We start from the raw sequence: 18,361 nt of genomic DNA, 5'->3' as shown, positions 1-18,361 counted from the left end.
ACAGATATAAAACATTTGCAATACCACAAAAGTTCTAGTACACAGTTCTTACTTACAAGCCCAAACCACCAATTCCAAATGCAAAATGATCAATAAATAAGGAAAACAGGGAGAAAACTGGACACTCAAACAATGAGTACCTTCTAGAGCAAGCTTTTCCAACCCAGGGCCTGCGGGCTGCACGTGGCCCAGGGCTTTGGATGCAGCCCATCACAAATTTGTAAACTTTCTGAAAACATTACGAGATTTTTTTTTTGCAATTTTTTTTAAGTTCATCGGCTATCATTAGTGTATTTTATGTGTGGCCCAGGACATTTCTTCTTCCAATGTGGCCCAGGGAAGCCAGAAGATTGGACACCCCTGTTCTAGAGGTTGCATTTAAATATCATAAATAAGTGACAGGTGCATGTCTTTCAGGCTGAAGGAAGAGGGTATGAGGCCAATACATTCTCCAAAGGTTTTTTAAAGAGGAGTTCTGCAAATTAGAAGAACAGCGAAGAACAGAATATTGGAAAAGAAATTGTGGCCTATGTGACAGGTAGCTTTGGATTATATTCTCTGGGTCTTGGTTTCCCCATCTATTAAAAACAGGGGATTCAACTAGATGTTTTCTAATTAACTTTCTGATCTCATTGGTACTTTTCAAAAAAAATGAATAGAGATTACTAACATCTTCAAGACCAGCCAAGATTAAACTAAAATTCAACTGGGTTAAACTCTAGTTGTACTCAACACTAGCTGCAAACTAGAAGACTGTGCTTTGACCCATGACAACAAAATGGAGTCTTTGGGGTGGTCCCCAGGCATCTAGAGTTTTTAAAAGCTCTGCAAAGTGATTCTGACACACTATGAGGGTTAAGAACCACTATGCTGGAACACAAGTGACCGTATAGTTCAGGCAGGAAAAGATAATGGGAAACATTTTCCTCTTGTCAGGCAATCAAAGCTGTATCTACACAGATGGCAACTTACAAGAGAAAGGTTAAGTATATTACAAATAAAAATCCTTTGAATTCGACTTTTACAATCCAGGAGAGAACATCTGTCTGAAAAAGAGCCAAGTAGAATAAAATAAATAACTAAAACCAAAATTTTGAAATGAATTCTCATGTATTAAAAAATGAATCCCTTATTAAAAAGTTTAAACACTAGGTTGTTTATCTAAAGCTCACAGAAGAAAAAGACCTAAGCACAAAGGGAAGATTTCCTACAGGCAGAAAGTTAGCATTTAAAAGGGTCAGGGAATAGACAGGTGTCTGTGAGACAGGACCACAAAGGTACAAGACTCACACTGCTTCGAAAACTTTCTAACACTAGTCTGCCAAGGAGTTCCATCCTTTCCTACCTATCACAGAATTAAAAACAAAACAAAACATTAATGATTCATAGGTAGACAATTAAGTGAGAAGGTGAAGGGGTAATCTGTTTTGCAAGGCCATTACTGAACATGATGGCTAACATTTACTGGCAGGCTCGTCTCAGTACTTTCCAGTTATTTTCTGGCTGAATTCTTACGACAACCTTGTGAGTATGTATGATTATTATCATTTTACGGTTAAGGAAACTGAGAGAAATAGAGGTTAGGAAACTTACTCAAAGTTACATAGCTGGAAATAAAAGAGCTAAGATCTAAATCCAGGAAATCTGGCTCCAGAGCATGTGCTTAACCTGTATGTTATACTGCCTTTCCCTCTCTGCCACCTTGTGTGTCTACACCGGCATGGAGGTCTGTGACTGACTAAATGGTAGCTGGAGATACAGACACAAGAAGAGGAAGGGGAGCAGGGAACAGAGAATAGCATCAGGACAGCAGCTACTCTAGAGGACAAAGCAAGGATGGGACTCTGAGATATGTACCTGAGGAAAGGGGGAAGTATGAATTTTCCCTAATTCTCTTACCTTGGACTGTAATATATATATACCAAATTTCTGAGAAACAGATATAAGGTGAATGAAACAAAGGACAAAGGAGAAACACCAGGTATTAAACTAATTTAAAATCCAGAGGTAGGGAGTAATAAGGTAAGCTAAATACAGGGAGACTGAACTCTGTTATCAATCCTAATATTCAGAGAGAAAGAAACAGCTTTACCTGAGAAATAGAGGTTTTTTCAGTTCATAATGAAAGTACATTCTCTCTAGCAGAAGATAGTTAGAACACGTGGGTAGATATCATGAACATCATAGCCATTACAGAAGTATATCCCAAACTGTAAGCAAGTGAATTGACATTCTGGTTTATAAACTCAATTAGTTTATTTAGGTAAGGGACTAAAATGGCTTTTAGATCTCTAGGCATAATAGATCAGAGGTAGCATGTCTAATATTGCCTAACCAAAACCACCTGAAGGCTAGTTAACTCAATTCTATTAAAAAAAGAAAAAATCCCCAAAACTAATTCTAGACATATATTTTAACAATCTTTCTCACCTAAACATCTTCCATAAGTAGAACTGATGAGAGTTCCAACAGACCACATTTTTCATGACATTAATACTAAACCATGAAACAAGCATACCGCAGATAGGAAAGGAGCTAAAATAAAGGGGCTATAATAAACCATAAACTAGACAGTAAGTCTTGGAGTAAATTAGGGTTTGGCTGCAATCTGGGAAAAAGTTGTGCTGGAAAAACAAAAGTACATTACATGGTAAGCTTTTCACTTCTTGCTTTTACTATTTGTTGTCAAACAACAAACATAACAAGTAAGCAGTATATCACTGCAGGTACCAAACATAGCCCTTTTAATACATAAACATAACAGCAAGATGCCCTTCATTTATAAATGGGCATCTTGTGCTCATTAAGTGTTTATACAAGAAGACTAAAACTGTCACTGGGATCTGGAGTTTCTCATGAGTATGCTCAGGTCTCAGAACTGCTGTGGGATGATTAATAAGGGACTGTTGCAAAAAGAAGACAGACTTGATGGGTTTTTCAACTTATGAGGAATTTTTCCAACTCACAAAAGTAAACTGAAGCCTCTTTCTTGGCAAGGCAAGCTACTCAGTTTGAAGAAAGACCTCATAATGCATTATCTAGACTATAAAAGCAAAATACTGAGAGTCTTCCCTAGAGATAAGTAAAAGGAGTATACACCCATGGACACTGGAATACAGATAAGAAACAAGAATCCAAAACTTTTTAAAGGATACGGTCTGTACCAGGAAACAATGTTCTTCCAGTCAACAGCTCGGCCATTATGCATCCCACTGACCAAATATCAACTGGCAAAATTAAAAAGAAGTAAAAGTATATGCAATGTCACTGTTACAATTCTTGGCAACAAATGAAACCGTAACTAGGGGTGAAATATTCAAATTACTATTTAAGACATCTGAGGCTCAACAATCATACTCATTTTTACAGAAATAAATAGCTTACTAAGATCTTCACCTGACTAAAGGGCTGTTCAAAGGTGGGGTAAGTCAAAACACACTTAAGAGAAATAAGCTGTTTAAAAAGGGGCAAGTTTCTTATTAGTAGAATGGTAGATTCTTCCAAGTAACATTGAGGGGTTAAAATTATGGACTAATTGTCTTTAGGTATAAGTACTCAGAGAATATATTCAAAATCTAAATAAATAAAAACCCAATTGCTAAATCACAAGGTTTAAAAGCTGTGTATAAAACCCCACTTCCCCATCTGAGGAAGTGAAATATTTTTACTTGCAGGCTTTAAAAGGATCACTGAGGGAAGAAAAGACATTTCTTCCCACTCCCACCATCTCTATTTCTGAGAATCCCAAATGCATCCAACATGGAATTAAATAAGGCCCTAAATAACCAAGGCGAGTAATACCTGTCTGGTTGTAATGCATCCAGTTCAGCATGATCTCAGGAGCCCTGTACCACCTAGTGGCCACGTAGCCTGTCATTTCATCATCTGTGTGCCGAGCCAGTCCAAAATCCAGAATCTAAAGGGCAGAAGAGGAACAGACAAACTGCTAAGACTTAGAAACAGGCAGGGAAAAAAAAACAAAACAACAACAACAAACAAACCTCTGTTGCCTTATTAAAAAGGAGAACAAAATAGCACTTTCATAAAGAGATTTCCTGGTCCATACTTAGAATGTATGGTAAATATACAGCAAGAACTTAAAATGAAATTACAAAAAGCAAAACAAAAATGTCACTCCCAGGTATTTAATCAAGTGCAATGAGAACTTACGTCCATACAAAGGTTTGCACATAAACATTCACAGTTGCTTTACACAGCCTCAAACTCAAGCAAATGTCCATCAGCAGGTGGATAGATTTAAAAATTCTGTTATGTTCATAAAACAAAATACTATTACCAATAAAAAGGAAGAAACCACTGACACACACAACAATACCGAATCATTACACCAAGCAAAGGCCAGACACACAAAAATACACACTATATGATTCCATTTACATGAAACTCCAGAAAAGATAAACCTAATCTATAGTGTTAGAAGCAGATCCATAGTTGCCTGGAGCCAGAGTTAGGGGTGGAGGGGTAGGGATTGACTAGGAAGGGACACAATAAACTTTTTTTTTTTTTTTTTTTTTTTTGAGACGGAGTCTTGCTCTGTTGCCCAGGCTGGGGTGCAGTGGCACTATCTCGGCGCACTGCAAGCTCTGCCTCCCAGGTTCACGCCATTCTCCTGCCTCAGCCTCTCAAGTAGCTGGGACTCCAGGTGCCCGCCACCATGCCCAACTAAATTTTTGTATTTTTAGTGGAGATGAGGTTTCACCGTGTTGGCCAAGATGGTCTCTATCTCCTGACCTCATAATCCACCCGCCTTGGCCTCCCAAAGTGCTGGGATTACAGGCATGAGCCACCACGCCTGGCCATAAACTTTTTAAAGTAATCCAAATGTTCTTGGCTGGGAGCAATGGCTCACACCTGCAATCCCAGCACTTTGAGAGGCCGAGGCAGGTGGATCACGAGGTCAGGAGATCGACACCATCCTAGCCAACATGGTGAAATCCCATCTCTACTAAAAATACAAAAATTAGCCGGGTGTGATGGCGTGCACCTGTAGTCCCAGCTACTCGGGAGGCTGAGGCAGGAGAATCGCTTGAACCCGGGAGGCAGAGGTTGCAGTGAGCCAAGATCACACCACTGCACTCTAGACTGGGCAACAGAGTGAGACTGCATCCCAAAAAAAAGGAAAAAAAAAGAAATGGTCTTTATCATAAATGTGAGTTAAGTGGATATATAATTTTGCCAAATGAAATGGTGCATTCTAATGTACAGACATTTTTTCAAGTTAAAAAAATGAAATGGAACAAAAGTTCTAGAGCTGCTTGCTATTTAGAAACAATTAATTCACTTATTTTTTATTTGAATTATTTTGAGTGAGTGGGTTTCTGCCATTTCTCCTCTTAGAAATGTATTTAATCTAGTTATCACCTCTTTGGGCCTACTTACTTGATATTTGACTATTATCCTCCTTTATTATGACTAATATATCAAATTTATAATTTAACTTTATGTTAAAATAAAAACAAGTGATGCCACTTTCAATGTCACTTAGCTTACTCAGAAATGGTTTAAATTTCAAAGTCTGATAATAAAAATAATACGAATTTCAGATAGTCATGGCTCACAAAGCTACTCCCTAAGAAAGTCTGCCTGCTTAGTCAAACATATAATCTCAAAGTAAAGCAAACAATGAATACTGTCTCTTCATTTTACCTTCAGCTCACAGTCTTCATTCACAGCTAGATTACTAGGTTTTAGGTCCTAGGAAGCAAATACAGGGAAGACAGGATCAACTTTATGATGCATGATCAATTCTCCCCCTACAGGTAATAATGAGGATCCAGACATAAAAGACTTCATCCAGCTATCAAAAGACAATCTCCATCCTACAGTCAATATCCAGTCCAAGTTAGCCTTACATAGAAAAAAACTACACATCTTCTTTCTTTAATCAGCTTAAACCTACAGTAAAGTTGCAATCAATCAACATTTCAATGGCTAAAGTTTAGATTAGGATCTTGGCTAAATGCCATTCTTCCACTCTCACCCCACTTCCCCAAAATAATGTAATCAAAGTCACAATACATACCCTGTGAATTATGTCAGCTGAATGTATATACTGCAAAAGAGAAAAAAGTCAAAGTTACCTCCAACCTTCTATTGTCATATTATATAACATATTTGCTGCACATTTTCATGAATCAGTAAGAACTGCTAGTGTTAATAGTAAGATTAGAAATCAGCATAAGTAACTATCAGTATTGTGTACATTTACCATTACTATAATTTCCACAGCCATTGACTCCACTCAGTTGAGCTTTTAATCTATTTTCTGGTTGGCACTCTGGAGCTCAATAAGGACTCAAAGCAGCTAAATATCAAAGATGGGTTTAATTTTAAAACACTGTTTATCTGCCCCTCCAACAAATAAATTAGTCTTTCTTGAGGATTTTTTGAAAATCTCAACATTACGCTGACCAGATATTAGATTACATCAATAAATTATTGTTTAGATGTAAGAATGAAGAGTCCTTATCTTTCAGATATGCAAACTGAAGTATCTATGGATGGTATTATATAATGTCTAGACTTGCTTTAAAATAATCCAGGGCTTGGGAAATACAAAAGAAACATGATTGGCCATATGTCGGTAACTGTTGTCACTGAGTGAACATGGCAGTTTACTGTACTATATGACCTTTACCTGTGATTTTATGTGTTTGAATTTTCCATTAGAAAAGTTGTTTACTTGTTTGTTTAAGCCCTAAAAGGAGGGGAGAAAGGGAGAATTCATTTTAAAAAATTATTACTTGTATTATCTGTACCTTTAGACCTCGGAGAATTTGGTAGATAAGGAACTGAACATGGTCATCTGTAAGCTTCTGACATTTCACAATGTTGTTCAGATCTGCCCCCATGAGATGGGTCACCAGATACCTAGAAATTAGTGAAAAGTTACATAACAATCTAGAACCCCTAAGAAAGTTCTTATCTTCAGAAGACTTTTATAAGTTTTTTGGTTTTTTTGGTTTTTGTTTTTGTTTTTGAAATGGAGTCTCGCTCTACTGCCAGGCTGGAGTGCAGTGGCGCAATCTCAGCTCACTACAACCTCTGCCTCCCAGGTTCACGCCATTCTCCTGCCTCAGCCTCCCGAGTTGCTGGGACTCCAGGTGCCCACCACCATGCCCGGCTAATCTTTGTATTTTTAGTGGAGACGAGGTTTCACCGTGTTGGCCAAGATGGTCTTGATCTCCTGACCTCATGATCCCCCCGCCTCAGCCTCCCAAAGTGCTGGGATTACAAGCGTGAGCCACCGCACCTGGCCCGACTTCTAAGTTTTTAAGGGAAGGCTACCCTTCCCTTAAAATGGTAGCTGTACCACGATGACAGCTAAAAGCTAACAACTACTCATTTTTTGGGGGGAAGGGCACCTCATTACCTCATTTTCAACATCGCTATTCTTTTACTTTTCTTTTTTTTAGAGACAGGGTCATGCTCTGTCATGCAGTGGAGCAATCATAGTAATTCACTGCAACCTCAAACTCCTGGGCTCAAGTGATCCTCCTACCTCAGCCTTCCGAGTAGCTAGGACTAAAGGTGTGCACCACCACGCACAGCTAATTTTTTTAAATTTTCCTGTAGAGATGGGGTCTCACTATGTTGCTCAGGCTGGGCTCTAACTCTTGGTCTCAGGTGATCCTCCCAATTTAGCCTCCCAACATTACTATTCTAACTTTAACTACCTGCCATCTGTTCTAAACATTTACATACTTATTCCTACTTGACATATCTTTTTCCAGGTTATCTCAAGAAAAAAGAAACCAGGCCAAGCTTTGTGGCTCACACCTATAATCTTAGCACTTTGGGAGGCTGAGGCAGGAGTGTGAGATCAGCCTGGGTAACACAGGGAAACCCCATCTCTACAAAAAATAAAAGAGAAAAGAAAACAAAAACAGCAAAGGTAGGGATTAGAAAGATACATGTGTCAGTATCAGTTTTCTTACAAATGTTATTCTTGCATGACAAATATATAGTATAACTTACTGCATGGCTATAATTAAGTATCTTGTAGTTTTAAATCCACCGCTACATTTTCACCTCATTATAAGTCTTCCACATTACAGGTTCTAAAATAGGAGTATTTTTTTTATTTTCCAACTGTAATTCTTTTTCAGGAATGACTAGTGAAAGGATTTTGTTCATTGACAATATTCCTGCATTTACCTTAAAGGAAGGAGGAACATGTTTTATCTGGAGGCAAGATGAGGCATTCCAGAATTTCTCCTCACAGGTGTGGTGCTGGTTATTAATCCCATCTTTATGTGGTAAGATTAGGGAATGATTACATTCAAGTCCAACAGGTTCACCACACATATTCTAGACACAATGCCTTAACCCACTCATTACTGTATTACACAGCTATGGAAACATAGAAAGTAGATCGGTTCTAAAAAGGCTGATTTTTTTTTTTTTTCTTGAGACAGAGCCTTGCTCTGTCGCCCAGGCTGGAGTGCAGTGGCACAAGCTCGGCTCACTGCAACCTCCACCTCCTGGGATTAAGCGATTCTCGTGCCTCAGCCTCCCGAGTAGCTGGGATTACAGGTACTCGCCACCATGCCTGGCTAATTTTTGTATTTTTAGTAGAGGCGGGGTTTCATCATGTTGGCCAGGCTGGTCTCGAACTCCTGATCTCAAGTGATCCACCCACCATGGCCTCCCAAAGTGCTGGGATTACAGGAGTGAGCTACCGTGCCTGGCTAAGAGGCTGAATTTTTAAAAATAAGTGTAAGTTTTATTTACTGTCTAAGAATCATTCCTATTCCTGAGATTGGGTAATAATATATATCAGCTGAGCTATAAAGAATGCTGATTTCATTTCTATTTTCATTTTTTTATGAATTTTGGAGGGAAGAAAGCAGGTCAGTAATTTAGATCTATTATTAATATATTATAAGAATAAACGTGTGTGTGTGTGACCTCTCTTTATATACCTACACACACAACTAATACACTATATTTATTACTTTCTGTCCTCCAAGAGGAATGGAATTTTTTTCTCTGTCATAATTTCCTGGTAGGGCTGCCATGGTCAGTTCTCAATTTCATGAAGATCAACAGGACTTAACCTAGTTGCAACCTTAAGATGTTAGCATTTCATATTTTTAAAACTTGCATGTTTATACGGCCTTGAGGAAAGAGTAGACTCTAAATGTAATTAATAAGTAAATGAGACTGAAACGTTTTAAGAAATGTTCCAATCTCAACACAACATAACCAAAGGCACTAACTAGCACTTATTCTGTGTCCAGCACTGCAGCAAGCAGTTTATTATGTCCATGTACTCATTATGTCTCATGTACTCTTCCCAATAACTCTGTGAGATAATGTCCATTAGCGTTCCCATTTCATTGACAAGGAAATAGAGACAGAATAAGGATAAGCCATCTACTCAAGGTCAAAAAGAGTAGTAATGTCAGGAGTTGGATCTAAAACTAACTGACCCCACAGACCATGATCTTAATCACAGCACATATTCTTCCAACAATTCTTTCAGCTGATACAAAATTTACATCAAGGGAATGACCTTTTTAAAACTCTTTAAACGTCACAATAACTAGGGAAGCAATATGTCTGAATAATTTCCTTAGTAATTCTCAATACTGTATTTACTATCAAAGTTAATCTTAACAAAGTTCTCAGGCTGGCAAGAACATAGCAGTATTCTGTCCTAATCACAGTTACTGTATTTTTTAACCCTAAATTGATGCATAAGCTGAGGAAGACAGAATCTAATTTCGGTCATATAAGACTACTTTGCACATAATTATATTTTTTGACATTGGATAATAAGAGGGTTATTCTTTGAACTTTTCTAAATAATTTTATGGAGAAGAGACAAACATAACTTATTTTTAAATAAAAATAATACTAGTCCTAACTAATAGGCCTGAGCCAGTTCACAAAGGTTAGGCAAAACTACTAATGAAACCATAGCAACTTCAAGTACAGCTATTATGTGTAAATGGTTACCAGTGAGTTAAGAAATCTTAGGCAGCCAGAGGACCACTGACTGCATGGCAACAGAGAGAGAGAGAGAGAGAGGGAAAGAGCTTTTAATTAGAACAGTTTACCACTATGTAATTTCTCTCAAATCCTTTCCCCCTCAGAGACCACATCCATTTTATCACCAAAATTTAGAACGAGGGTGAGACTGCCAAAACATTATGTAAGTTTATAAGATTAATCAGTCTATATAGTAATAACTATCAAGCATTACTACTAAGCTACAATGAAATAAACTGAAAGGCATTATTTATGGCAGAAGCATCTTGCAGGAACTAACTTAATCACTATACTTGTTTCCAGGAGGCCCAAAGACCAATCCATGACCACCAATTGTTACATTCTAACTCCCATATAGAAAGATTTTCAAAATAAGTCTTACAACAGGGGACAAAAGCAAGCATCATGCAAAGTTGCTGATTGTTTATGGAAGATGCACCAACTTCTAAAAATAATGAACAGGATGGGGGGCAAGGAATATAAATGAGCACATTTTAAGAAGCACATTCCAAAAGAGGCATTAATGGAGAGTCACATAATTTCTATAGTATTTGTTTCTGGAAAGCATAGTCAATTACATTTTAGTAAAGACATGCCTAATATTGTCAATGTATATAACACCTAAAGTAAATTAAGTAAAGTAAATTAAAGTAAATTAAGGAAGGTTAGACTTGAGTATGGTTGGAAAGCTATCTAGTTCTCACATCTTTACAAAGGAATTAAGTTAAGTTGGACTTTATTAGGCTAAAAGCTGAAAACAATTTCATGGACTGATACAAATCTTGTTTTTCACTTTTCTTGTGAAGTTGGTCTTCTTTAAATTTAATCAAAGTATAGAGAGCACAAATCACATTTCTCAATGTGACTCCTGTGAGTAAAATGTACTGTGACAGCAAGAAGGAAGAACTCTGTCATAAATGCTTTTCAGTACTCTAGACAGCACCCCATTTTACAGCTTCATTTATACTTCTTGGATAATACCCAATTGTTAAGACCAGCACCACTGCCCCCGCCCTCTTCCTCCCCACCTCCCACTTTTTAAAGCACAGAACAATCAGAAAGAACCTATGTAGAAAAAACTCTTCGATATCTATAGACTGGCGTCTCTTACTACTATCAGTCCTATTCAAAGCAATTATCAAAAGGCAAAAAACAAAACAAAACAAAAAAACCCATTTATTCCATATTTAAACAGGGTGCTTAAAACAATCACAGGGATTGACAATTTGTAAGCACAAGCTTCTGCAACTCACCTATTGATCCTTGGGACTTACTACAGTCTATTCTCAACACAGGGGAAGAGTGTTTCTTTAGAAATAAAACTCAGATCAGGGCACTCCTTTCCTCAAAAGGCTCCCTATTTTACTAAGAGTAAAACACAAAATTCCTTTCAATGGCAGATAAAGCCCTACCTAATCCAGTACACTGCCCCTAATTATGTCTCTGATTTCATAGTCTATGTCTCTGTCCCTTGCTCTTACTCAGCTCCACACTGGCCTCCTTGCTCCAGTTCCAATATATCATGCAGTCTGCCTCAGGACCTTTGCACTGACTTCCTCTTCTGCCTGGAATGCTCTTCCTCTAGATATCCCCAGGTCTAATTCCTCTACTTCTTCACACTTTTGCTCAAAATTCATCTCAATAAGGCCTATCCATTTAAAATTTCATCTTCCCCCCACCCTTGTACTCCTAATTCCCCTTTCCTGTTCTACCTTTCTACCTTTTCTTTTTAGTTATAGCATTATTGTCTGCTAACAGACTATGTAATTTCCTTTTTTATATGCTCACTGTTGTTTATTGTTATCTGCTTGTACAATGTTCGTGGAGGACAGGGTTATTTTTTGTTCCCTGTAGTATCTAAAGTACCGAGAACAGTGTCTGATAGATAGTAGGCACTCAATTACCACTGAATGACTCAGGACAACTCACACAGCACTACTAGTAAGATAAGACAAGGGCTCATTTTATTGAAATACATGTGCCAAAGATCTTACTGGTAAGCAGACCAGACTGTTCTAATTTAGGGGTAAAAGAATCATTCAGCAGCCAAGTAGGCAGCTTAGTAGGCTTATTTCACAACAAATTATTCTCACTTGAAGCAAAGATTACTAAAAGATGCCCTCTACATTACCTGCATCAGTGAAACTAGACTCAATATTTTACCACACAGTCTACATTACAGGATGAAAACAAAAAAGCTAGTCAAAGGAGAGAGCACTGAGCATGCTTTCAGACAACCAAATCATCAACCAGTTATAAACAGTGACAGCACAAAGTTATTCACTCATTCTATCACTCCATCAACAAATACGTATTTCTGGGCCCTGGGGATGCAGCAGTGGGAAAGACAGATACAGCCTTTAGATGAAAGGAAGGCATATATGAATATATAATCATAATAAAGGGACATACGGTGATGGAGAACACACAGGAGAGGGTCCCAGCACAGACTTAGGAAGAAGTGAATTAGAGAGAGATTGCTGAAGGACTCAAACTCTAAGCTAGGCCTTGAAGCTTCTTTACCTTTTAAAACTAGCTAATCTGAGAAAAAGGTGGCATCTTATTGATCATGTCAGGCAAAAACTGAATGATATTTTCTTAAGAGATATGTAACTTATTTAGATTTCAAATGTGAGTTTGTAAAAACATCTACAAGGAGTTTCGCCACCCACCATCTCCATTTCAGCAGACCTCTCTGATAAAAAAAAAATTGTAAACATAAATGTTAATAGTTAACTCATTAATCTTTTTCCTAGACCACTTCTCTTCCTGTGTTCACTATCTTGAGCACTTAGCCTAGTTTCAAGCAACTAGGCTAGTATTTCTTTCAGCATTATTTCCAAAACTACCATGTTTATTAGCTAAATTAGGAAATAACCTGTAAGTCCAAGCAACTCGGCTAGGTATTTCTTTCACCATTATTTCCAAAAAGATCACATTTATTAGCTAAATCAGGAATAACCCTACACATACACACATACACACATACACACACACACACACACCCAGAATTCATCAATGCACAATTTTTATCCAAGTACAAAAGAAGTATCAATAGTTATTCTCATTTAACACTCTCCATTCCATACAAATCTCTTTTCTGTACACTTTACATATTTCCTTCATTCTCTGTCTGGAATAAATTTCAACTTCCACATCCTATCCCTATTTGTTTCTTCGGACACAGTTATTACCTTCTTTAGAGGCTTTTCTCCACTAAGCTTCTCTAATATTCTGAGTTTCATGCAGCACCCTGTAAGTTGTCTAGACATTACAGATTTGACTCAGCCCTTCAGTTATTTTAGGTAAGCATTTCTTAATAAGAAATGCCTCATTTCTTTAATAAGACCATAGCAATTGGAAAACGAGACAGGCCCTTAGTTTTGGCATCTTACATAGAACTTAACACAATATTTACTCAATAAGAAGGGGTAGCAGACTTTCAAATAATAATCATAGCCTTAGATCAGAAAAATGTGATGAGAAATAGGTTTAGAGCCAAAAGACCAGGGAGAGATGCAATTTTGTATGTGATATTATACAATTAGGTTCATCTCTCTCAACCTCAGTTCCCTCATCTGAAAATTAGAGATAATACCATCTGTTTCACAGGATTGTTGTGTCAAATAAGATTATGTGAAAGCCCTTTGTACCCTCCAAGATGTTACTGAAAAAAAAAGAGTTTTTATAGAACTGCTCACCCACATGTTTTGTCAGTTTCACTCATAAGCATAAGACCCTGTTTTTTGAAGAAAGGACATAGTTGTAATGTTGGCAAGAAGTCAAACCAAAAGAAATTAAAGTCAGATATTAACAATGAGAAGCATCATTACATAAATTTAAGTTCCCAGAAAAGTCTTATATCCATTTCAGATTTTCAACTAGTATGCTCATCCAAAATATTTCCTAATGTGTTAAGGATCCAGGAGAAAACTGCCTCTGGTAAAATGATATCTTTTTATCACACACTATGGAATGTGTTTGTGTGGGGAGGAAGGGGGAGAGAGTTGTAACTATGTCATCCCACATAAAAGTAAAACCTTTCATCCTTTTTCCAATCCCATTTCCAGTTCCCAGTACCCTTTGATCTCTTCTCTAAAGCAACCACCTTAATGAGGCTTAGCTTATAAAGCCCCAAAGATCTAGTCCCTCCCCATTCCAGCTTCATCTTTTGCCATATACACCTCTATTCCCACCAAACACACACACACACACACACACACACACACACACACACACCTTTTCTGCCCTCAGCTCCCTCTCTCGGCCCCTGGATGAACTTGTACTTTCCCCACCTTTCCAACTCTCCTTCATCCGTTAAGCCCTCTGTGTATACATTTTTTTTGCAGAGGCTTTCCTGAAGACACCCCATGTCTGGGTTAGGTGGCCATACTATGCAGTCCTTTAGCACTCTATACCTGCCCTATAATGGCAATTCTTGTGTTCACCTGTTTAACAAACAATGGAGTGCATATACTCCAATAATGATTCAGCAACGAAGAAAACAAACTCCGTGCTTGAACACAGCTTACAAAGAAAGGGAGAAGACAGACAATAACAAAATTTGCTAAGAACAAAGCAGGGTAAGGAGTAAACAGTGACAGTAGGGGTACTATTTCAGTTAGAATGGTAACAAAAGAAGAGCTTCTGATGAGAAGACCCTTGGGTAGAGTCCTGAAGGAAAGGAGACAGTCATGTAGGTATGTGGGGAAAAAGTTCCAGGGCAATAACAGAAACTGGTGCAAAGGTCTTATTGCAAATGTGGTTGTCTGTACTCAAAGAACAAGAGGCCAGAGTGACTGGGGTGGAGACAGAGTGGAAAGAGGACTAGGTGAGGTTAGATTAGAGAGTACACCGGAGACCAACTCATGTAGGACCTTTCAGGTCTTACCACATGGTATTTTGTTTGATCATTTACATTGTTCTTCTCTCCCATTAACAGCCTCAGCTCTTATTTACTGTTATATTCCTCAGAGACTATTACTGTGCCTAGCATAAGGTAGATATTCAAATATTTATTGAACAACATCAGGTTAAAATGTAAATCCAGAAATTTCCTTTACCAATTCAGTGTTTTCAGCAACTTTTACATTGAAATAAAAAAGCTAAACTTATTAGTTGAGCAATCATTGTTAGTAAGTGGAAGAAGTGATCTCTTCTCATTGGCTTTCACTAAAACAAAGGCTGCTGAATAGCCTTGTTGTAGGTCTTCCCTTCTATCATGGTAGAATCCAAAACCCCACTTCCATTTCCCTCTTCAAGAATGAGGCAGAGATAAGGAATTCAGTATAAGAAACCTGGGATGGGAACTTGTAAAATAAAGGAAAAAGTATCAGAAGACTAATTTCCACTTAACTCATGACAATTCAGTTTCCATGAAATTTGAGGAAATAGTTCCCAGGAGGAATCAAAAAATTCTTGTCTACTATGCTTGCGCAAAGAACCACTACAGTTAAGAAAAAGGGGTGGGGGGGGGCATGGTGGCTCATATCTGTAATCCCAGCATTTTGGGAGGCCAAGGTTGGGGGATTGCTTGAGTCCAGGAGTTCAAGACCAACCAAGGCAACATAGCAAGGCCTTGTCTTTACAAAAAAATAAAAACAGCTGAGTCTAGTGGTGTGAGCCTGTAGCCCCAACTACAAAAAGAAAACAAACACACACACACACACACACACACACACAAAGAAAAGGCAATATTATAGTAATACTGAATTACAGCTTGCTCTGGTGTTAGGTTCAAATATTGGCTATTTAAGATTTTTGCATTTCTACTGGTAATATCTGCTGAATACACAGGAATATATATGCATGCAGTATCTTGCCAAACATTACTATCAAGAAGCCAACAGAAAGGCCCAAAGGATTTCCAGTCATTTAAGAGATCTAGATGTACTGTATCTTTACAAAATTTTGCCATCTGTACAACCACATCCTATGGTGGTCAAGAGCAACTTAGTATATCCATCTTTTAACACTACATTTTCCAAAAATCATCTCCATCCAGATTCAGTAACTGTATATTGTTCCTAATGTTCAAAATGCACTACCTATTGTTCCTTTCTCAAAGGTATAGTCTTCATTTGTAAGAATTAAAATTTAAAACATAGCAAAAATCTGAAGTAGTCATGTACCACATAACAATGTTTCAGTCAACAGTGGACCACATATATCACTCTGTCACCTGGGCTGGAATGCAGTGGCGCAATCATGGTTCAATATAACCGCTGCCCCTGGGCTCAAATGATCCTCTCACCTTAGACTCCCCAGTAGCTGGGACTACAGGCATGCACCACTATGCTCGGCTAATTTTTTAAATTTTTTTGTAGAGAAGGGGTTTCCCTATGTTGCTCAGGCTGGTCTCCAGCTCTTGGGCTCAAGTGATCTGCCCACCTCGGCCTCCCAAAGTGCTGGGATTATAGGAGTAAGCCACTAAGCCTGGCCTACAGTACCATATTTTTACTGTTGTTTTCTATGTTTAGTTATGTTTAGATACACAAACACATAGCATCACGTTACAGTTACCTACAGCATCCAGTACAGTAACATGCCATGCAGGTTTGTAGTATGGGAGCAACAAGATACACCATATAGATTAGGTGTGTAGATTATACCATCTAGGTTTGTGGAAGTATACTCTATGATGTCTGCACAATGACAAAATCACCTAATGACATATTTCTCAGAACACATCCCAGTCATTAACTGATGCATGACTGTATATAAATTAAAAGTGCTAACCGAAACATAAAGGGACAAATACACGTATCACATGATTAAAAGCCAACTGTAGGCCAGGCGCGGTGGCTCACACCTACAATCCTAGCACTTTGGGAGGCTGAGGTGGGTGGATCACTTGAGGTCAAGCGTTCATGACCAGTCTGGCCAAAACAGTGAAATCCCACCTCTACTAAAAATACAAAAATTAACCAGGCATGGTGATGTGCGCCTGTAATCCCAGCTACTTGTGAGGCTGAGGTAGGAGAATCGCTTGAACCTGGGAGGCGGAGGTTGCAGTGAGCTAAGATCGTGCCACTGCACTCCAGCCTGGGTGACAGAGCGAGACTCCACCTCAAAAAAAAAAAAAGAAAAGAAAAAGAAAAAAAAAAAACTATAAATCTGAAAGTAATTATAGAGATTTTGCTAATTAGCATTTAAAAATTTGTGTTCAAATTATAGCCTGCTCTAAACAGGCAGCTTGTAGAACCACTCTAGCCTAAATTATGTCTGGTTTGGCCAGAAGTGTAGGTTTTCGTTTGTTTACTTGTTTTGTTTCAATGTGAATTTGAATACTTTTAGGAGGTGCAGATGTATTTTGCCACAGACCCCACCACTCCCAATTGTGTAACACTGAACCTCATTTATGTTCTTTGTGTGACCCTGAAGGTATTTAAATTTGCAAACCCTGCAAGTGTAGGTGAAGATGTTTAGTTTCTTATGCATATCCCAAAATAACTTTAGAAAATACTGAAATGGCTGGGTGTGGCGGCTCATGTCTGTAATCCCAGCACTTTGAGTGGCCTAGGAGGGCGACCACCTGAGCTCAGGAGTTCGAGACCAGCCTAGGCAACATGGCAAAACCCTGTCTCTACCAAAAATACAAAAATTAGCTGGACATGGTGGCCCATTCCTGCAGTCCCAGCTACTTGGGGGACTGAGGTGGGAGGATTGCATGAGCTGGGAGGCAGAGGTGGCAGTGAGCCAAGATCTTGCCACTGCACTCCAACCTGGGTGACAACAGGGCAAGACGCTGTCTCAAAAAAAAAGAAAACACTGAAATAACTATAGTCGAACTACAGTGATTTTTTCAGTGATATGAACATCACAATAAAAAGTAAACAATGGAATATTTTTCTTAGGGCAAACAAGTTCATTCTATTTTCAGAGACTTTCTGTAATTTAAAACACTTCAGAAGTCAACGACCTCAATTCTCATCATTTTACAGTGAAATGACTGGGCCTACAGTGGTAAAGTGACTTGTCCAAGGTCATATGGCCAATTGGTAGCTTGGATACAAAAGTGCTTTGAATTCGTTTCCCCCAACCAGACACTTTCATCAAAAGGAAGGGCGACTGTTTCTGATTATTCTGAGCCTGTGCTAACACTCTGCTCAGTGTTCTGCATTCAGTAAGTAGTCAACAAGTAGTAATGAGATTTGCTTCCAAGAGGTAAACTCAGTTATTGTTTATAAAAAACAGTATCCAGCTAGAGTTAAATAGAAAGAACGGATTCCTGCTCAACAGCCATAGTATTTATTGAATAAATGAATGAATGAATGGTTGAATGAATGAATGAAACCTTAGTTCAAAGGTAGATTTGTAGTTGCTGGGTCCTTACATGGATGAA

At 38.2% G+C, this 18,361-nt stretch overlaps 1 protein-coding gene across 18 annotated transcripts in view; it reads right to left on the bottom strand.

Moving 5' to 3' along the window:
* MAPK14 (mitogen-activated protein kinase 14) overlaps nucleotides 1–18,361 on the bottom strand; it is a 96,407-nt gene that overhangs the window by 44,451 nt on the left and 33,595 nt on the right. For 16 of the 18 annotated variants that reach the window (XR_007059210.1, XR_926065.3, XM_017010299.3 and 13 more), the window contains exons 4-8: nucleotides 6,780–6,891; nucleotides 6,044–6,073; nucleotides 5,668–5,715; nucleotides 3,802–3,916; nucleotides 3,156–3,227 (exon numbers count right to left, since the gene is read on the bottom strand). Coding sequence is in view for 14 of the 18 variants with exons in the window: in XM_017010299.3 (XP_016865788.1) it covers nucleotides 3,156–3,227; nucleotides 3,802–3,916; nucleotides 5,668–5,715; nucleotides 6,044–6,073; nucleotides 6,780–6,891 (377 nt within the window). In the remaining 4 variants the exon portion in view is untranslated. Of the gene's footprint in view, nucleotides 1–1,899; nucleotides 1,930–3,155; nucleotides 3,228–3,801; nucleotides 3,917–5,667; nucleotides 5,716–6,043; nucleotides 6,074–6,779; nucleotides 6,892–18,361 lie in introns of all 18 variants that reach the window. The other 2 variants (XR_007059209.1, XR_007059211.1) reach the window with 1 other exon arrangement.

Source organism: Homo sapiens, chromosome 6 (genome assembly GCF_000001405.40).
Source record: "Homo sapiens chromosome 6, GRCh38.p14 Primary Assembly".
Classification (NCBI taxonomy): Eukaryota; Metazoa; Chordata; class Mammalia; order Primates; family Hominidae; genus Homo; species Homo sapiens.
Note: the sequence above shows the minus strand (reverse complement) of the source record. Positions and strands in the feature narration are given on the sequence as shown.